This window comes from Homo sapiens, chromosome 13 (genome assembly GCF_000001405.40).
Source record: "Homo sapiens chromosome 13, GRCh38.p14 Primary Assembly".
Classification (NCBI taxonomy): Eukaryota; Metazoa; Chordata; class Mammalia; order Primates; family Hominidae; genus Homo; species Homo sapiens.
This window is the reverse complement of record NC_000013.11, coordinates 93,459,505-93,482,398: the sequence shown is the minus strand read 5'-3', so window position 1 is coordinate 93,482,398 and position 22,894 is coordinate 93,459,505. Positions and strand designations below refer to the sequence as shown.

General features: G+C 36.4%; 1 protein-coding gene across 2 annotated transcripts in view, besides 1 other annotated feature; it reads right to left on the bottom strand.

Moving 5' to 3' along the window:
- Positions 1–22,894, bottom strand: part of GPC6 (glypican 6) — a 1,191,492-nt gene that overhangs the window by 925,622 nt on the left and 242,976 nt on the right. The window lies entirely within an intron of this gene.
- Positions 8,133–8,719: an enhancer, noted in NCBI's record as "H3K27ac-H3K4me1 hESC enhancer chr13:94125933-94126519 (GRCh37/hg19 assembly coordinates)". NCBI's record gives its function as "activates a minimal SCP1, AML or CMV promoter by ChIP-STARR-seq in primed H9 embryonic stem cells {active_cell/tissue: H9 hESC(primed)}" and the evidence as "EXISTENCE:reporter gene assay evidence [ECO:0000049][PMID:30033119]".

The following is a 22,894-nucleotide window of genomic DNA, read 5'->3' as shown; positions in this document are numbered from 1 at the left end:
AATTAGACCCTCAGAAGGGCAATTAAGCAAGGAAAAGAAATTAAAAAGCATCCAGTTTGGAAAGGAAGAAATAAAGATACAATATTCAGAGATGTATAATCTTGTATATAGAAAATCCTTAAAATTTGTTAATTATATAATTAATAAATGAGTTTAGCAAGGCTGTTAATTCTGAAATTAACAGAAGAAAAGCACTTGTGTTTCTACACACTAACAAAGAGGAACCTGAAAATGAAATTAGGAATAAAGTACCTAGGAATAAATGTAACGAAAGAAGTGTAAGAGGCGTACGCTGAAATTTACAAAATATTATTGAACTAAATTAAAGACCTAAATAAGTGTAAAGACATCTCATGATCATGGATCACAAGACTAAATAGTGTTAAGGTGGCAACACTCCAAAATTGATCCAAAGATTGAATACAATTTCTGTCAAAATCTCAGCCACCCTTTAAAAAAATTGACAAGCTCATTATAACATTGGTTTGGAAATGCAAGGGAACGCAAATAGTAAAAATGATCTTGTAAAAGAACAAATTTGCAGGACTCACTCCTCAATTTCAAGTCTTAATACAAAATGGTAGTAACCAAGGCACTGTACTACTAGCATGAGCATAAACAGACAATAATAGAATTGAGAGTCCAGAAATAAATCCTTGTCCGTATGGCTAAGGGTGCCATGGCCATTCAATGGAGGAAATTACAGTGTATTCAACAAATGATTCTGCCACAACTGAGTATCTACGTACAAAAAAAAAATGAAGCTGGATCCCTACTTCACAAAATATACAAAAATTATCACCAAAAAAATAAGGCTACAGGATCTGAGACCTAAATGTAAGAGCTAAAACTATAAACACTCATATAAGAAAACAAGAGTAAAGATCCATAATCTTGGATTCTTAGCTATAACACCAAAGAAACAAGTGACAAATGAAAAAAGATAAATCAACAACAACAAAATTTGAAAAATTTTGTGCATCAAAGGACAGCATCAAGAAAGTGAAAAGACAATACACAGAATGAGAGAACATATTTGCAAATTATATATTGACTAAAGGGCCCATATTCCAAATATATAAATACTCCTTACAATACACAAATAAAAAGATGAATCACCTCATTTAAAAATGAATAAGAAATCTGAATAGACATTTCAAAAGAGATATACAAACAATCAGCTCCTACAAAGAGCTAATGCTCAAAATTGTCAGCCATCAGGAAAATACAAACCAAAACCACAATGAGATACCACTTTACGACCACTGCGATGACTATAATCAAAGGGACAAATAGCAAGTATTGTTGAGGATGTGGAGAACTGGAACCCTCATGCATTGCTAGTAGCACTGAAAAATGCCACAGATGCTTCAGGAAACAATCTGGATGTTTCTCAAACAGTCAAATATGGAACTACCGTACGATCCACTCCTAGGTATTCACTCACTAAAAATGAAGACATATGTCCCTCACATAAAAACATATAAGCAAATGTTCATAACAGCATTAGTCATAATATGCAAAGAGCAGAAACAACTCAAATGTCTATCAAATGATGAACAGATAAACAAAAAGTGGCATGTTCACACAATAGAAAATTATTAGGCAATAAAAAGGAATGGCATTCTTCCATGTGCTACAGTGTAGATGACCCTTGAACATACTACACTAAGTAAAGAAATATACAAATCTATAGAGACAGAAGGTAGATTAGTAGTTGCCAAGGGATAGGGAACCAGGGCAATACGGAGTGACCACTAGTGGATACAGGGTTTCTTTGGGAGTGATACTAAAATGTTCAAGAAATCGAGAGTGGTGATCAAAGCACAACTTTATTAATATATTAAAACCACAGTACTGTATATTCAAGATGGTGAGCTTTATTGTGTGTAAATTATAACATGATAAAGCTGTTATTTTTTCCAAAAATCACGTTCTTGTCCCCCTACCTGGTTTTTAAACTCATCTTATAAAATAGCAAAATAAATAATTCTGTTGCAAAACTTCTGTTCATAGTATCAAGCTTATATTTCATCCATTTCAACCGTTTGAAAAGAGAAAATATAACTAAATTTTTTTATTTAATTCAAAAGGTTACCCTTTAAAGAAATGTAAGTAAAGGAATCACCTGGATAATTTTCTACAATGCATTGAGAACAATATTAAAGAAACATATTTCCCCTAAATCAATGTGTATATTACAGTTTAAAATGTTGATTAGTTTTCATTTAAGCATTAATGTCCCTTGGAGACACAGAGACAAAAGCCACAGGTGGGAATTAAAGTAACACTGCTTATCAGAAATAAAGAATAATGTCTATGTTGCCAAAGTAACAAAACTGTCTCATGTATGATTTGACATTCACTTATCAATGTTTCTAAAATGCAACTCTTATCTTGCCTTTGTTGTAAATTTCATTTCCCAGCAATGATTTCACAGATTCCCCTCTATATGCATGTCTCATTTATTTGTTTCCAGAATGAATTAAACCATAGAGATATGGCCAGGGCTGTTTCTGTCTCACTCTCCATGAGAAATAAATCATTGTTTTAATCCAGAAGACTACACCGTATGATTATTACTCACAATTTTCAGCCTTCTATATGAACTCTCTCTTATAATGATCCCCAAATCACAACATTGCTGACGGCAAGTGATCCTAAAGGTAATGTAGATCACAGTACAAAGTAGATGATCCATAAATGTTTGCTGAATTAAATCTTCTAACTTTTGATAGCATACCACCACACCTAGCTAATTTTTTTATTTTTAGTAGAGATGGGGGGGGGTCTCACCACGTTGGCTGGGCTGGTCTCGAACTCCTGACCTAAGGTGATCTGCCCGCCTTGGCCTCCCAAAGTGCTGAGACTACAAGCATGAGCCACCACGTCGAGCCCTTCATCCCATGCTGAACAGCGCTAATTGTTAGATACTTCTCCTAACTTTAACTTCTCAGATCATCTTTGTGTCCTCTGTAGCTACATACAATCCTGCTTTTATGCTTTCCCTATGGATATTTTGAAATGTTTATCGTGCTTGATGTTGCTCAGCCTGTTTTTTGCTTGTAGGTTTGCTTCCAAGCTCAGAAATTTTATACTTGTACAATTGTCAAATCGAGCTTGCCCTTCAAATTTAAATCTATAGTTTTTGGATCTGGTTCTTAGTTCCTTTTTAGGAACTATCCTAAAAAGAGATAAATGCTAAATTCACATTTTTTGAATTGGTAATAGTTTCCCAAGACATAATTCTATTCCACCCATCTTCCAAGCAGGTGTGCTCCTTTTAACAAAGATGTAGCTTTATTCTGGTTGCAAGGCCTATCCTTCAAAATCTAGATGTCTGGTTCAACAAGCCTCCAGCAAACAATTCTTTATGGTTTGTTCACTCCAGTAGCTTAGGCTACAGCCTGCATGGAAAATTTCCCTTTCTGAGTACACCCATGTAGCCAGCTACAGGACTTTGTAAATATCTCCCCCTCTCTCAAAAGGTCCAACATGCCTATAATATAGTAGTCTTCAGAGCTATTTCCAAAATTACTTCTGACAGTATTATTTGTCCTTTAAAGTACCAGTAAAATAGGTTGGGTGTGTAGTTTTGGTAAGTTTGGGAGGTTATCTTCCAAAGTTCAGGTACACTTCATAGAGACACATCATATACTGACTGACCTGTAACATGATTTCCTTAAGTTTTACTAGTAACATGTCCCTCACATAATCACTGCCATAACAATGATCACATTGCTCCCAGTGCCAAAACCAGGTGATCTCACTCTGAAATTCTCCTTCATGTGCTATGGATCCAGAAGATTCAGATAAATACTCTGAAGGAGGAGGATGTATTTGAAACAACTGCACCTCACCTCCAGAATTTGCTTATAGAACCATGATAATTTCAGGAATTTTTTTCTGGTAAATTATGCCTGTGTTGGTGCCACTTGTTGATGTCAGGGTGACAATTTACACAGATACAGTTTACCAAAAACTATACTGTCTGGTGAAGACATTCTGAGAAATCTACTCTGTATCAGACCAATTTGTAAATGGGGATTTCAGGTAGTCATTTATTCAACCTGTACTTCTCAAGCACATTTAGGCATTATTTGGCCTAAAGAGAAGAACTGAAGAAAAAAATGGCTGTGAGACCTGGGCCATGTCTTATTGACGACTTTTTTCACTGGAGACTAGAACTATGTTATAACTCATAGATTAAAACACCGAGCCTGGGCATCTAACATTTCTAGTTTGTTCTATGATTTCTAGGCTGAATTTTCTAAAGAGAGAAATCATTTCTTGACCAGATTTAAACCTTCCCAATAGCCATCTCATAGTAAATGTCCCCAAAATGCCCAATGACCAGGCTCTAGCTACTCTAAAAGCCTCCATTTAAACAGATGTAATAAGACAAAAAAAATGCAAAGAGATAATCCAAGTACCATTAACTATCTTATATATTAATAACTCTAAATAAGCAGCTCATATACGGTACTATGTTAAGATTAAAAGCCTTCATACATTTGTTCTTATATTAAAATGAACACCTGCTGTTAAGTCTGTACTCACTCTGCACATAAGAAACAAATAGTTAAGGAAGCAGTAATTAAAGGAACTCTCAAATACTAGCTTCTTTGGAGAAAAAATAATTTTATGTAGCCAGATTTTACTGATTTGTGCACTCTTAGCTCAATATATGAGAATTATCCTTAAAAGAGTACCAACTCTCAATTCTGTAAGTTATATGCACATTTTCAAATATGGCTCTGATTACATCCTCCTTTTTTTAAGAAAATAAACTATTTATTTGTGAACTGTTTGCTAATGATAGTTAAATTAACTGAGTTTTGGCAGTTCTCTAATCTACTGCAAGATCTTACTAATCCAGTCATTCTCTTCAGTTTTCCTTGGAAGCATGAAAACTTGTTTAAACATCATAAAAATGTTACTATCAGCCCAAACCAGAGGAATGTTGCAAAAGAAAAATTGTAGAGCAATGCCTCTAGCATGTGAAGGCAGCTCTAACATCCATAAAGTCAAGAGGGATCTTCCTTTCTCTCATTCATGGAAAAAACAGTTTATATGATTTAAGAATTCAGGTAACTACACAATTTGAATTTACAAAAATTGTCTTTAATTCTATGAATTTGTAAAAACCTGTTTTTTCTTCCTAAATTAAATAAATATTTTAAAATCTGGGATACTCTAAAATATCACTTTTGTTTTTCATAAATAAAAAAATTTAAATATAAATAATGTTAAACATGAAACCACTGGGAATGCATCACCCATTCCCCAACAGTATTTATAACTAGTCAGAGAACAATGGAGGTGTTTTTCATCAAAACTTTCCTCAGAATATCTACATGCGGTTCTTATAGCTATTATAAAATAATGAACACTGATATCAGCTCATTTAGAAAGTGGATTATAACATAATGTTTTTAAGTGGATTATAACATAATGTTAACAGGAAAATGTTTAAATTCTAAAATTTTCCCTAAATTATTGGAATAGGCTTCAAGAAAATAATCATGTTTCATAGTCACATATTAATATTTGTACATAGCATATTTTAATCATGTTTATACACCCCAATATTTTATTTATAAAATAGTGTGAACAAAATAAAAGGTCTGCCATCTTACAAAAAAAAGTCATTTAATATTGGATAAATAGTTCTAAGGGCAGAAAATGCTGAAGCAAAGGCAGTAACCAACATGCCTTGAAAAATTACTTCTACTTTTTACATGTTAGCTATTTAGTGATAGAAATGTGAAAGTTTGGAAAAGCACTTACAGTAATCAACAATTATGTATTAAGAACTCTATCCACCAAAATAATTCAAGTACGATGTAGCAAAAACTTATGGATACATTTTTTGTAAATAGTGTTTACTGATGAACTGAGGTGGCATGCAGAACCCCGCAGTTGGATTGTTATTTGAAACAAGTTGGGCAACTTTTCATTGCTTGTTCCTACCATAAAAAAAGCTACTGACATGCCAATGGATGACTAAGACTGGAGAGAAGTCAAGAGGGGAGCATTCTTTTGAAGACCAGTGGCTACGTTTATATTATTTAGTTGCGCGCATGCACACACACACACGCACGCACACACAGACACGCACACACACACAAATAGGAATAGCAAGTCATACTAATTTCTATTGCAGAAAATCTGAATAAAAATGTTCAGAGGGACATCCTTCCAACACTTATTTTCCTGTTACATCAATAGTTTAAAATGTGCTGCTGACTTCTCATGCTGTTGAAGGTAGCAAAATTCACATTAATATTCTTATTTGAATTGATTTTCCCATAAAATATAGGGAGACCATACTAATATGAAAAAATCAGTCAGGTGACTATCCCATATAGTTTAACAGTACTCATATATATTTAAGAGGACATGAACAGGGAATACTCTCTCATAAAAAAAAAAAATCCCAGTCATTCTCAAAAGCGTAACAAATAATTCTCCTAGACTATCTTATTAGCAATATCATGAATTATACAACAGAAATGCTTGTTCAAATGTTTTTTCTGATAAGAAACACTGCATTTTAAAAAGCACCCTCTATTTTAATATTTAATACCTCAGCCTATCTAGATCTCCAAAAGTAACAAGCTATTTCAGAAAGAAGTGCACTTCTAGTAATGTTAAAAGCATTTCTGGCGTTTTATATTATCTGCTTTTTAATGACTGTATTTTCCTAGCATTAAAAATGAATTAATCTCTTTCTCCCTAAGTACTCTCTTGAACATATAGTGAAAGAAATAGTTCAACAGGTTATTTTCCCTTGCTAAAGCCACATAGATCGTTGCCTCTCTTTGCATATCTGGTTTAAAAGCAAAACATCTTACTGTGCATCCAACTCAAAGCTCATCACCTGTATACAGTTTCAGATATAGAAAGTTTTATTATTTTCTATAGAAAATAGAAAAAGTACTGATTTTAGGCTAGAGTATTGAAACACAAATGAAACGTAAATTAAGGTACTATCATACAGTTTCATTCAGCAAGAAAGTTGGTTATTTTAACTCTACAGTGTAAAAATAAAATCATTTTAAGTAATTAACATTAATAATTTGGAATAGTCTATAAGAAATGCAAGCAATTGCCTCCCATCAATTCTCCAAAATTATATTACAGTTATTAAATAGAGGTGTTCTTGCTTTTGCATTCTGACATGTTTCAATCATCATAGTGGTTGCTGTGTGTGTTTGTGTGTGTGTGTGTGTGTGTATTTATTTATTTATCTAAGGATTCAGGTCTCACCCTGTCACCCAGACTGGAGTGTCGTGGCATGATCATAGCTCAGTGCAGCCTTGAAATCCTAGAATCAATCGTCTGGCCACAGCCTCCTGAGTAGCTGCAATTATAGGCACATGCCACCACACCTGCCTAATTATTTTATTTTTTTAGAGGCTGGGTCTTGCAATGTTGAAGTTCTGACCTCCAGCAATCCTTCTGCCTCAGCCACCTGAGTTGTTGGAATTATAAGCATAGCCACCATCCCTGGCACTAAGTATTAATTTAAATCACACTGATGGAACAATAGCATTATAATTACTTTAAAAAATGGAATAAAAAAGTTTCGACCCCAGGTAAGATGGGAGTGATCACCTTCCAACATGACTCTCACTGAAGACAGCCACAAAACCCGGACAGACTGCAAGGACCAGCTATTTGAAGGCTTTGAAAAGTACACAGTATATGGAAGAGTAGAGAAGAAGATCAGAATTCAAAATACCATTAATCCAATAATGAGTTTGGAATTTTTTCCCTCCAGTATATCCTGGGCTGAACTCAACACACTGGGGTTCCAGAAGGTAGGACCAACTATGTTTTTTCTCTGCCCTCCCAAAACTTGGCCCTGGGTGCTGGCACAGTTACAGAAGGTCATGGTAAACAGTGGTAACTAAAGTCTCAGCACTCTGCTTGGGGGAAAAAGAAGGCTCAGACAACTGGAAAATTCCAGAGAATAATGGCAGAGAAAATGTTGAGAAAGTAACCACAAACATTTTTATAAACACCTGGGCTCATCTACAGCTCCCTAAATGTAGACTTGATCCTATTCAGCACACTAAAAACCTTGAGAAGTGAATCCATATATAGTCTACCACCCAGGACTCAAGTTGGACCCTGGAAGGTACACACAAGAAACAGATCCAAGTAACACTGTGAAGACTTGAAAACTTATCTGACATCAGGACTACAACCTACAGAAGGCAAGTTGAAAGTTGTGGCCTAAACTCAGCCAGCTTAACTGACCACTAAAAATATAAATATCAACAGTTTCCACAGCATTTAAACAAGACAGAGTCTCATGTAATAATGATGTCAGCTACAGGCAATCCGGAGCAGCTGCTGCCATGGTGCTGGCTGCAGTGGGGAGATGTGAGTGATGGCAGCAGGGGGAACTGAAGAAGCAGCAGTGGCAGCAGTGGGTCTCTTTGCCCCACATACCCAAGGCAGCCGACTACACAGCCAACCACACCACCCCCACCTTCACATAGCCAGGTGGGACCTACCCAGAGGCCCAGACTATAAAATCCATGGCTTGGGATTCGGCCCTGTGTCGCCACTCTTGCCTGATGCTGCTGTGGGGAGGACACAGGGAGGAGGTGGAGCTGGGCCTGGGATGGTGCCACATTCCATGGAGACACCATGATGGGGCCAGGCCAAGCCATCTGCCAGTAGGGGAGCAGCATGGTCAGGCACAGAGGAGTGGGCAAAGAGGGGCCCTGTGAGGACCTGAAGTCCCCAAATCAGGCTGTGAGGAGGCACAACTGGTGCTGCCTGTATGCTCTACCAAGTGCATATGCATGCGCTCCACTGCCTTCCCATGTGCAGGTCCCAGGCATCTCTGGATTCTGCACCCTCAGGGGTCTGGGAAGGCCCTCCTGACCCCACAGGCTTGGTGGTGACTGCTCTCACTTCCTGGCCTTTCCCCATTCCCAGTGCCTGCTCCGATCTTGTAGTGGGGTTGGGGCCAAGCATGGGTGCTATCACAGCCCAGCCAGGTGTGTGCACGCTCCAGCAGTGCTGACACATCATCCCCCTGCACCCTGGCCTGCTCCATACTTTGGGCACCAAAGAGTGGGTGGGGGAAACAAGTAGGGGCTTAGGGCAGTTCAACACTGACCTATAGGTGCCCCTTGGTGAGAGCAGCCTGGGCCCATGGACGGCAGCAGGAGGCAGACAGGCTCCTGGACAAAAGGGGGCAGGTCCCTGGTGAGGCCCTACCTTCAGGCCAGGCTGCCAGTCCCACTCACTGAAGTGGGAATTGCAGTGACTTTTCTGGGCCCACCCATGGCCACCCATGGACCAATTGGTGCACATTTCCTCCCATGTGAGGCCCATAAAAGCCCCAGGCTCAGCCACAGCTGAGCAGATGATGGGTCAACTAGCTACAGGGAGGAGCTACCCTCTCTCCTTTGAGTAAGCACATGAGACAATCTGTCTGCAGAGAAGAGCTACCTTCTCTGCTAGGAGCTAAGGAGCTTTCTCCCTGTGGGAGACTGAGGTGTTCTGTTGCTCAGTAAAGCTCCTCTTGTCTTGCTCACCCTTCACTTGTCTATGTACCTCATTCTTCCTGGTTGCAAGAGAAGAACTCGGACCTACTGAATGGCAAAGCTAAAAGGGCTGTAACACAAACAGGGCAGAAAGATGCCCCTTTCTCAACACATTGCAAAGAGAAGGAGAGGAGAGAAGAAGAGAAGGAGTTTGTGGCCCTTCTAGGAGCCCAAACTTGGGAGCTCCACATGCCAGACCAGGCCTGTGACTCCCTCTTTGGGGCCCTGCAGTTCCTGGCATCTCCAAGCTTCCGGGCACCCCCACATTTTCCAGTGCCAGGCAGGGAAGCTGTTTGCAGTAACGCCTGGTCCAATCACAGCCTCTTGGAGAGCCGGCGCCCATGCCGGCACCTGGAGCTGCCCACTCTACTGCAGCAGCCAGCGTGTCTACAGCACAGTGGCCGGACCCCACACTTGCTCACACACCCCTCACCACTCCACACCTCCATGACTTACAGTCTCCCTTGGAGGCATGTGATCCATACCAATAGCATGAGCTGAGTGCAGCCTGCTAGGCCAAGAGGATGGAATGGGCCCTGTGGGCCCTAGGAAAATGCGGAAAAGGCACCAGCAGCCACAGGTTTCTGGCCAGAAAAATAACATCCCAAAGATCAGTAAAAATAAAATGTTCAAGATAATATAAAAAATTACTCAGCATATAAAGAACAGGAAAAATCTCGATTGCACAGGAAAGGACATTAAAAAGATACCATTACACTATGGTCAAGTGGCCAAGAAGACATAACCATCTTAGTTGTGTATGCACAAAAATCAGAACTAAATCCGTAAATCTAAAACCAACAATTGTGAAAATAGAAATAGACAAAGCTACAAATATAGTGTAGGACTTCAATACTTCTCTCTTGGTAACAGATAGAACACATAGATAAAGAGCCAGCAAGAACGGAGAAGCACTGAAAATTTCCATAAGTCAACTGAATCTAATTGACATTTATAGGTTACTCTGCCCAACAACAGCAGAATATACATTCTATGCACATGCATCTGGAATATTCCCCAGGATAGACCATATCCTGGGTCATAAAACTAACAACAATGCACTTGAAGTCATTAAAATCATACACAGCGTGTTCTCTGTAACTGAATTAAATCAGAGAACATTAATAAAAAAAACATAAAATTCCCATTAAACACTTGAAAACTAACAACACACTTCTAAATAATCTATGGGTCAAAAAGAAAATTTCAAGAGAAATTATAAAATATTTTAAACTCAATGAAAATATAGTGACAGAGTTTATAAAATGAAGCTAAATATAGGAGAAAATTTGCTTTTTTTTCTTTTGAGATGGAGTCTCGCTCTGTCGCCCAGCGTGGAGTGCAGTGGCGAGATCTGCAAGCTCTGCCTCCCAGGTTCATGCCATTCTCCTGCCTCAGCCTCTCAAGTAGCTGGGACTACAGGCACCCGCCACCACGCCTGGCTAATTTTTTTTTTTTTTTTTTTTTTGTATTTTTAGAAGAGACAGGGTTTCACCACGTTAGCCAGGATGGTCTTGATCTCCTGACCTCATGATCTGCCTGCCTTGGCCTCCCAAAGTGCTGGGATTACAGGCATGAGCCACTGCACCCGGCCTAAATGCTTATATAAGAAAAGAAGAGAGACCTCAAAATTTCCATCTTAACTAGCTAGAAAAAAAGGAGCAAAATAAACACAAAGCAAGTTGAAGCAAGAAAATAAGAATATGAAAAGCCAAAATCAATGGAATTGAAAAATCAAAAGCAATTGAGAATATCAGTAACAACAAAAACTGATTTTTAAAAAATCAACAAAATTGGTAAACCTTTAGGAGACACAGATTACCAATGAAAAGAATCAAAGAGAACATATTATTATAGACCCTACAGACATTAAATGGATAATAAAGCAATATATGAACAACTCTATGAACATAAATCCAACATTTTAGTTGAAAAGGACCAATTCCTCTAAATCTGCAAATTGCAAAAATGACTGATGATGAAATGGATAACATTTATCATCCGATTTAAAAGAAATTGATTTTGAAAAAAAAGGAAATTTTGAAAAAGAAATCTCAATTTCCATATAGTTTAACTGGCAGATTCTACTAAATATTTAAAGAAAAAATAACACCAATTTTATAAAATTTATTTCAGAAAAAAAAGAGAAGGGAATACTTCTCCAAATCATTTATAAGGATGTCATTACCATGATATCAAGTCCAGAGAAAAACAGTACCAAAGAAAAAGAAAACAAGAACAAAAAAGTAAACTATATTCTAATATCCCTCATTCACACAAGTGCAAAAAATCCTCAAAACCATATTTGCAAATCGAATCCAACAATATATAAAAAGGATAAAAACCACAATTCAGGGGGATTTATCCAGGTAATGCAAGGCCAGACCAATATTTGAAAATCAACCTATAAAAGCCATTATATTAACAGTCCGAAAAGAAATCCCTTATGATTTTACCAACTGATGCAGAAAAATAATATGAAGAAGTTAATGTTCATTAACGATTTAAAAAATTATTGCAGCAAACTAGAAATAAAAATAATTTTTCCTAACCTATTAAATGACATTCACAAAAACACTACACCTACAATGTCATTTAATGAAGAAAGACTGAACACTGTCCTGAGTAATCCTAGCCACTTCAATAAGACAAGAAAAAAAAATCTCTATGGGAATATAGTTTGTCAGTATAGACAAGCTGATTTTAAAATTTATTTGGGAAGGCAAAAGATCTAGAATTACCAAAAAAATGGCAAAGGAACACAGTTGGAGAAATTACACTATCCAATTTCAAGTCTTCCTGTAAAACTAATCAAGACTATACAGAATTGGTGGGAGGATATACACATTGACCAACTGAATAGAAAATAAGGAACACAGAAATAAACATACTCCCCCAATATGGTCATTAAATTTCTGACAAAAACAGAAAAGCAATTCAAAAGAAAAAAGATTCCCTTTTCAGTAAATGGTGTTCATACCATTCAACATCCACATGCAGAACAAAAAGTAACACCACCACCAACAACAAAAAAAACCTAGTGTAAATTTCATACTTTCTACAAAAGTTTTAACTTAAAATGGATCACAGATCTAAACATAGAATCCATAACCATAAAACCTTTAGAGGAACAGATAGAAGATCTTTGTCATCTGGAGTTATGACACCAAAAGCATGACCCACAGAAAGCCTGGTAAACAAACATTGGTGCTGATGAGTCCAAACATAATTTCTTTCATTGCAACCATGGTCGTTTCATTCATATTCCTATCATGGCCACTCCAATCTGGAGTTATGACACCAAATGCATAATCCATAGTAATAAACTTGGCTTTATAAAATTGAAGAGTTTTTTTCTGTGATACATTGTTAATAGAACCAAAGGATGGGGTAACAGATTGAGAAAAATATTAATATCTGCAATGAACTTATTTATCCAGCAAAGGACTTTTATCTTGTATCATATCCTGAATATAATGATGTTTACCAAATCTATAAAGGTGTTAAAATTAATAGACCTGTGCAACAACAATGACAAAAACCACTTGAAGTAGACAGTTATTTAAAAATATAAGAAATAATTGAATACAATACAATTTTATTGAATTTCAATAATTCATTCAAAATTATTGAATTTTGAAGTGGGATTTCAAAATTTCATTTATAATACATTTATTTATTGCTAAAAATACATAATATTCAGCTTCATTATGATATTTTTGTTAAGGTCTTAGGTAAAGCTGCAAAGCGCAAAATCTAGCCATTTTTGCATTTTCTCAGATGCCCTTAGGAATGATCTTAATTACACTGGTGATTAGTATCAGAAAGGAACTAAATTGAAGTGGAGAACTAAGCCTAAGAACTCTGCCCTCTGAGAAAGCAAGAACCAAAAAACAAACAAACAAACAAAAAACCCACAGTCTAATTAGTGTCATTTGCAATAAAATATTGAGGTAGTTAAATGTTACAGTGGTTTACTTTGACAAATTATAACAATCAAGCCAAACTTTTATTTTTGTTTAACCTATTGAAACTGCCCCATCCTTGCATAGTGCAATTGCATTCATTAGAAATTGCCCCAGTTAGTTTACCTTAGGTATTCCTTCTTCTGTTAGTTTATCTGAAAGTGATTTTTCTGTTGGCCTGAATATTATGCATGCTCTTCTCTAGGGCTGTGTGCATTGCTGAATATCACACTTGTGGCTTTGTTTGTTCTGATTGCTGTGAATGTAAGCCTCACTTTCTATGTACATATTAAATGCACAGTACTCTGGAAAGCTAATTAACTCTTAAAAATATTTTTTAAAGTATTTCTTTTAAACTCCAGTCCCCAGCCCCGAATTATAATTTGCTTCTTTATTACAATAAGATATATAAGCAAATTAAATCTTCAGACTTCATGAGGATGCTTTACACAATGAATTTGGAACTCTTTTTTATAAAAGAAATGACATTCAATATTCTCATGTGGAACATAGGGATAAGTGGAGAAACTGTCTCATTTTAAGGCATAAACTTCATTAAAATAAGTGAACTAATCTGTGGAATATCTTTGAATTCAAAGCCCAAATTCATTCATTACAGGGTAATGGCCATTAAGATCAAGACCAGTAATTGAAGATATTCGTGTATATGTGGGCATAAAATGAAAAATTTTACTTTCTATGACTCTACTAAAGAGTTTTCAGGTTCAATTAACATTCAAGCTCACAAAATTCAAAGCCCAAATTCATTCATTACAGGACAATGGCCATTAAGATCAAGACAAATGATTGAAGATATTTGTTTATCTGTGGATAAAAAAATCAAAAATTTTACTTGCTAGGACTCTACCCAAGAGTTTTCAGGTTCAGCTAAACATTCAAGCTCACAAGACCACCACAAGTGTCACCTGGCATCAAACACTTAGAAGGTTACAGGACAAGAATCACCGCTTGGCTGGGCACAGTGGCTCACACCTGTAATCTCAACACTTTGGGAGGCCTTGGCGGGAAAATCACTTCAGCCTAGGAATTCGAGACCAGCCTGTGCAAGATAAGGAGAAACTGTCTCTACAAAAAAATAAAAATAAAAAATAAGCTGGTCATGGTGGTGCATGCCGGTGGTCCCAACAACTTAGGAGGCTGAAGTGGGAGGATGGCTTGGGTCCAGGAGCTCGAGACTGCAGTGAGTCATTGTGATCACAATACCGCACTCCATCCTGGGTGACAGGATGAGACCATGTCTCAAAAAAAAAAAAAAAAAAAAAAAAGAATCACAGCTTGCCAGCAGGGTAGCATCAGGTATTATTCTGCAGAATTATCAGGAGCAATCCACACTGTTCCTCAGGTGCAAGAAGACAAGATACATACCAGTGGGTATGACAGTCATCCTGGTTACAAGCCTCATGCTCCACGAGGAGTCCATATGTACTAAATTAATCCCATGGACATAGCTTTCAGGACCACCCTCCTGGTGCATACCATTTGTAAGTCACCATACTCAGGAATCACAACATTACGGCAGCACCATCTGGTATGTGTAATTCATTTATAATTCTTCCCAGTATATATGCAAATTACCAATCAGGGGTCATGACATAGCAACCTTGCTTAGTAACTTGGTTGGTGTACCACTTTTATAAGGTTATCAGATCAGAGGCAGGGAGTTAACTAAAGGTCAAATTATTATGCAGAAAGAAAAAACATTTTGTTAACATTTTGCTTATAAAGGGGGTAGAAAGAAGAAAGGCAACGTTGTATACAGAAAAATATTTAAGACTTGGATTTAGAAAACATGGGGCTGAACCCCTGACTGCATCTTGACAACTATGTATCATTAAGAAAAGTATTTTACCTCATAGACTCCCCTTTCTTTGTCAGTAAATTTAGGATAATACTTGTTCTCAAGCATTTATTTTGAGGATAATATCACAGGTCAGATTTGGACTGAGTGAGTGTCCCAGAATTATAACTCAATTAATAGTGAAGAACAGATTGTAACTGATGAGACAGCAAATTTACTGTTATCAGATCCATAGTAGTACTCCACCAGCACATGAGAATAAAAGCATAGCTTTGAGCCTCCACCATTTGTCTTTCGTAATCTTTCATTGACTCTTCCATACACATGCCAAATTATATACTAGAATGCGTATTCTTTGAGAAACAAGGACCCTGTCCATCACTTTAAAAATCCCCCATGGCAGCCAGCTAGTTGCTCAATACATTTTTGTTAAACAATCACACTCAACTAAAACCACTGGAAAGCCAAAATATACTATTTTTTTAAATTAACTCTTCTGTAACCTAAACAATACAGATGATCACAATTCCTCGACTCATTCAATAAATATTTACTGACCATTACCACATATCAAGGATAGTGTTAAGTGCTAGAAATGTAACTCTTTAACAGGTTAGCAAAATTTTCTATGTTTCAGAGAGCTTACATAACAGCTGAGAAGACTGTTAAAAAATGAGTAAATATTCAGAAAATAATTATACATCACGTGATATACGTGACGAAAACAAATGAGTGAATCAAAGAATATCTAGATGAATCACTTTATACAGGCATGCTTCATTTTATTGTACTTCACTTTATTGTTCTTCACAGATACTGTTTTTTTTTACAATTTGAAAGTTTGTGGCAACCCTGCATCAAGAAAGTATATCAGCACCATTATTCACACAGTATGTGCTCATGGCATGCCTATGTGTCGCATTCTGGTTAATTCTCCCAATATTTCAAACTTTTCCTTATTACTGTATTTGTTATGGTGATCTGTGATTAGTAATCTTTGATGTTATTATTGTAATTATTTTAATAATTTCTGTGTTCTGACTGGTCTATCAACCAGCCGTTCCCCCCATCTCTGTCTGTCTCCTTAGACCTTCCTGTTTCCTGAAACACAGTGATATTATTAGGCAAATTGATAATCTGGCAACGGCCTCTAAGTATTCAAGCACAAAAAAGAGTAGTACCTCTTTCATTTTAAAGAAAAAGCTAAAAGTTATTAAGCTTAGCGATTAAGGCACATTGAAAGCTGAGAAAGGCCAAAAGGCTAGGCCTCTTGTGCCAGTTAGCCAAGCTGTGAATGCAAAGGGAGAGTTCTTGAAGAAAATTAAAAGTGTTACTCCAATGCACACACGAATAATAACAAACTGAAACAGCCTTCATGCTGATATGGAGGAACTATTAGTGCTCTACATAGAAGATCAAACCAGCCACAACATTCTCATAAGCCAAAGCCTAGATTAGGCCCTAACTCCCTTCATCTCTATGAAAGTTGAGAGAGGTGAGGAAGCTGCAGAAAAAAAGTTTGAATCTAGCAAAGGTTGATTCATATGGTTGAAGCAAAGACGCTTTCTCCATAAAATAAAAGTGCAAGGTGAAGCAGCAAGTGCTAATGGAACACTGCGAGAAGTTTATCTGGATGATCTAGCTTAAAAAAGAATTGATGGTGACTACACTAAACACATTTACCATGTAGATAAAACACGCTTCCAGTGGAATAAGATGCCATGTAGGACTTTTATAGCTAAAAAGGAGAAAATAAGTAACTGAATTTAAAGCCTCAGAGGACAAGTTGACTCTCTTTTTAGAGGCTAATGCAGCTGGTGACTTCAAGTTGAAGCCAATGCTCATTCGCCATTTCAAAAATCATAGGTACCTTAGGAATTATACTAAATGTACTCTGATGGTGCTCTATAAACAGAACAATCGAGCCTGGATGACAGCATATCTGTTTTACAGCACAGTTTACTGAATATTTTAAACTCACCCTTGAGATGTACTGTTCAGAAAAACAACAGATTCTTTTCAAAATATTACTTCTCATTGACAATTCACCTGGTCTCCCAAGAGTTTTGATGGAGGTGGACAGAGAGGTACATGTTGTTTTGATTCCTGCTAACACAATATCCATTCTGCAGCCCATAGATCAATGAGTCATTTCAACTTTCAAGTCTTATTATTTAAGAAATACATTTCATAAGGCTATAACTTCCATAGATAGTGATTCCTCTGATGGATCTGGCCAAAGTCAATTGAAAACCTCCTGGAAATGATTCACCATTCCAGATGCCATAAAGAACATTTGTGATCCATGAGAGGAAATCAAAATACCAACATTAACAGTTGTTTGGAAGAATTTGATTCCAACCCTCATAGATGACTTGGAGGGGTCCAAGAATTCAATGGAGAAAATCACCAGAGACATGGTATAAAGAGCAAGAAAACTAGAAATAGAAGTGGAGACTGAAGATGTGACTGAATTGCTGCAATCTCATGATCAAACAAACAAATGAGGAGTTGCTTCTTATGGGTGAGCAAAAATGTCAGTTTCTTGAGATGGAACGCACTCCTGCTGAAGATGCTGTGACCATCTTTGAGATGACAACAAAATATTTAGAACATTACATAACTGAGTTGATAAAGCTGCAGCAGGGTCTGAAAGAATTGACTTCACTTGTGAGAGAAGTTCTACCATGGCTACAATGTTATCACATAGGATCACATGCTACAGGGAAATACTTCACCAAAGAAAGAGCCAATCAATGCAACAAACTTCACTGTTGTCTTATTTAAGGCAATTGTCACATTCACCCCAACTTTCAGCAACTACCCTCCTGATCAATCAGCAGCCAAAAACATGGAGTCAAGTTGTGGCACTAACAAAAAGATTAGGATTTACTGAAGGATCAGACGATCATTATCATTTTTTTAGCAATAAAGTATTTCTAAATTAAGATATGTACCGGTTGTAGACACAACACTATTGAATACTCAGTGTACAGTATAGTGTAAACTTAAGTTTTATGCACTGGGAAACTAAAACATTTGTGTGACTTAATTATTTTGATAATTGCTTTATTGCTGTGGTCTGGTACTGAATCCACCATACCTCAGAGATATGCCTTTATAAGGTAGTCAGGGATCATTACAATTAAGCAGAAATTTGAGGACTTACGTAAGCAAAGAAGAGCAGGGTGGAAAATAAATCAAGCAAATGCCGTAAGTCAGAACAACAACAACATGGTTGGTGTGCTTGAGGATAGATAGAAAACTGTCTTTGTATGAAAAAAGAAAAAAAAAAAAGTGGAGCCATTTACTTACAAGGCAACAATATGTCAAAAGGCGTTCCAGAATGTGGTTCAGGTTAATTAGGGAAGTTGTCATTCAGGTCCTAACATGGTCTCTAATTCAACTGATAAAGTTCAACATTGGTACACAGTGGCATGCTAAAAATTACTAATGAGATACCTACAATAAACTCTGATGGAGGTTTCCTGTCAAAAAACAAACCACAGCTCTCAAACATGGCAGAGACCTGGGCTACACAAGAACTCTTTAAGTGGATCTAGTACTTGAATCACACTAAGAACGGTGCTTCACATCCAAATTGAAACCAGAACAACTGAAGAGCCAGATGTCCAGCTCTGGCAAGATTTAATATAAGTCACGTCCACCTGGTCTTCTGGTCTACCAGATGAGTTGTGACGGCCATTTTCGCAAACGTCCATGAAACACAGATCTTTAGATGTTATTTCTTTCTTTTCTTCAATTAAGCACCCATGCAGGGGCCAAATACTGTGGCTACCTAATAAAACATTTATATTTCAAGCAGGAGAAACTCATGCATTTGCCAAAAATAATTATAGATTATACCACAAGTAATTTCATTCCTTATCTAAAAGTTGCCCCAAATGAGATGGCTGGAGGGATTTACACAACATAATATTCAGGTTGTGGTACAATGTATTTTTCATAAGCACCTGAAATTGGAGCACAATTTATTCTACTTCCAACAAAAAAGATTGTCCTAATTCTTAAATAAAATGATTCATACACAAACTGTCCTATGTCTAGAAGGCTTTAGAAATGTGTTTAGCAGTATTTTGAAGCCTTAGGAGGCAAATAGCAAGAAAGTAGAGCAGAAGCGGGGCAGAGGGCAGGGCACGGGAAAAGGAAGGACACAGGTGATGCAGAGACACTGCCAGGACCAAAGAAGTCGCTTTGTGGAGCTTCCCCTTTGATTCTTTTCATCTTATATACACAGTAGGCTTGATTACTTCTGCTTGAACCCAGGAGAGTTTATTAAGTTAGGTGACCTCTTTACTATAATGTTTTACTCAAGTTGTTCTTTTGCTCTTTCATTTATATGTTCTTGGCATTTCTTTTTTATTCCTTAGTTGTTTTTTTTTTCAATTTTTACAAAATTTAAGTGGATTTTTTTTTTCTTCCAACTTTTACAGAAGCTAGAATCCACTGACAAACTTCAGTTTCTTAGCTTTTTCATCTTTAAGGTTAAATTCTTAACATGGGGAAGAATGACCGCTTTTTAAAAACATAATTTTAAAATCTGCCTTCCAATCCTAATGTAACATTGGAGGAAAGTAATTCAAGTCTTATCTATACCCAGGGCTTCTGGAGGTCTGTGAGATGTCTGTGTTTAAAAGTGTCATGTCGGTAGAAAATTTGCATTTTTTACTGGTAATTTGGTGTGATAGGTGGGCAATCCTGATTAGAGTCTGTCATTTTGAAGCAGCTGAACATCATCATTCTCCGTCTGCTTTCTATATACTCTATGAGTTCTGAAAGATCTTTTCAAGGATGATGAAGGATGGAATCTTTCTTAAAGTATATTTTGAATCTCATCCAACAGATATGACATAATAAATCTTCAAGCTATTTTTGACCATATGTCACAACTCCTGAAAGCAAATGAAGGCTTTCACAGCTTTAAGGGATTATTTAACATTGACAGCTGTTGAGGCATTTATCCTGATTTTTCTTCTTTCTTTCCATCAAAAGTATCTACATAAGATGGCATGGCTTGTGGGTTGGATGAGATATAAAATGCTTGATGTATTATGTGATACCATATAAATTTCTTATGTTCCTTCATGTTAATCCAGTTAAGTTCAACTACAAATAGCTGCACCAACTGTGTGCCCAGGCCTTGGGAATGTAAGAATGAGATAACGTAAAGAGGGAAATGCAAAGAAGAGATTTTTAAAAAGGCATGATATGAGGTTATGAACGAATGATTTTTTAAAATCAGCATTGCATCAGAGCACAGAATGTTGACTTTGGGAACAATAGGCTGGTAACAAAGATGTCTAGATTTTAACAAGTGTGACTTAGAGCAAATCATCAACACCCCCCCCCAACCCCCCCGCCGGGACCTAGTATCTTCAGCTATGAAACATATGGCTTGAACTAGCTGATTTTTTAGATTTCCTATGATTTAGAAAGTTCCCTATATTGTTTCAGAAGACAATGGTAGACAATGGTAGATGGACTCTACTATGTGCTATACTTATATAGTGAAACAGTATGTAGGTACCCTTTTGGAAATCAGTGAATTGTAAAGTTATTTAACTAAATTATTTAAGCTTTTAAAAGAATAATACTTTACTTGTAAGTGCAGTTTAAAATTTTAGAAAGTTGAGAAATTTTAGATGCTTTTCATATCTAAAATTTCAGAAGGAAAAACTTGATTGCTGACTCTCATTGCCCTTATGAAAACCATATTCCTAAATAATTTGTTAAAGAAATACAATACTGGTTAAATTCAGGTCTTACTTGAAATTTTTTAGTAGCAGGACCAAAACTAGTATTTAGTTTCTGCTAGTTATTAAGCTGTAGACTACTATATGTTCTAATAAAAATAAAATTTGTGGCACTAGTATTATACATTTTACGATAAAAAAATTGGAGAACAACAACAAAAAACCCATCAAACAAAAACAAAACACACACATATGGCTTTGAATCCACCACTGCAAGATTCATTCATCAAGTTTTACTAAGTATTTACTCCTTACCAATGCTAGATGAGAATGGAATAGCTGATGGAGCCCTCATTTTATAAAGTTTTCTATACAACTAATTTCAATCATAAGTTTATATACACATTATTATATTAAAACCAGTAATAATTACATTGGTGTGCAAGATACATATAATTTATTTTTAAAACCTTGTTACTCAAAACTGCCTATGTAAGGAATATAACACTAATAATCAATTGCAGAAAGGTGCAACATATCACAATGGGGGGGTAATATTAGTTATTTGGTTTGTCTGATCAATATAGAAAACCACTAATGCAATATTTGCCTCAAAGTATGGTTTTGGCCATAAACTTCCAGAGAAATATTGACTCGTCACTTTCATGTCTAGATAATTATTAATATTTTCATTACGTTTTCCAATACATCAAGAGTTCTTTTCACTGAAAAACTTACATGTTAATTCTGCTAATATTAATTTATATTAGTGCTATGTTATGATATTTCATCAAGTAGAAAATGATTTTTAAATAATCGTCATCATCATTAAATACAGTATTAAATGCAGTAAATGTGTTGTGTAGATTTAAATGTTTGTGGAATTCTTAACCTAACTTTATTGTATAAAATTCAGTAGAAAAGCATGTGAATTTAGGCCTTTAATTGAAAATATTATGGCAAAAGATTCCCTATTTCCAAACTGTCAGCTACAAAAACTGATAATACTGCCAGAGTTTTCCCCAAGGTTGAAGAACCAGCAGTAATTAAAGACCATTTATCCAGTCAAAAAACAGAGACACAAAATACAGTATGATATCAGCTTGGCTGCCACAGCCTCAAGGGCAGGAAATCCATCACAGTGACAACAGTTCATAACCAGAAACTGGGCAGAATGACTTTAAATGAGTAGAAGCAAAGACAGAATTTTGTATGGAAGCCAGCTAGATATTACTGTCAGAAAGGTGCCACCAGAAGTTATTTCAGCCTCACAATGGAGAAAGACAACCATAAGGTAGATAATGGTGAACACACACCCTAGAAGCCAAAAGAAAAGTTAGCCTTGAGAAGGGCAGCTTAACATGTGAACAGGTGTCATTGATTTAGAAAACTCAATGTGGCTTGCCTCTCACACTCTTGGCCACCTAAACCTAATTTTAGATACCACATGCCACAAATTCAGGGGATGCCATTTACCTAGAATGCAGTGTGTTGATATCTTATTAAAATCCAGTAGCACTAATTCTAAAATTATAAAGCTAAAGCTTGAACCTTAACTGTGTCGGGAAATTTTAAGACAATAGCCAAGAAACAGGTTCTAAATGAAAAATTAGGGGAGGATCGAGAGCACACAAAATCTCCAAAAAATGACACTGTGGCATAATTTTACATTAAAAGTGAAGACACACTGATACTTACAGATTAGAATACCCGGGGACCCATACTTTCTCTGAACTCGTCTATGTAAGAAAACCACTAGTGCATGGAGATCCTTGGGTTGTACTGCAAATACAGGTCTACTGTTAAAGTCCGTTGTTTTCATTT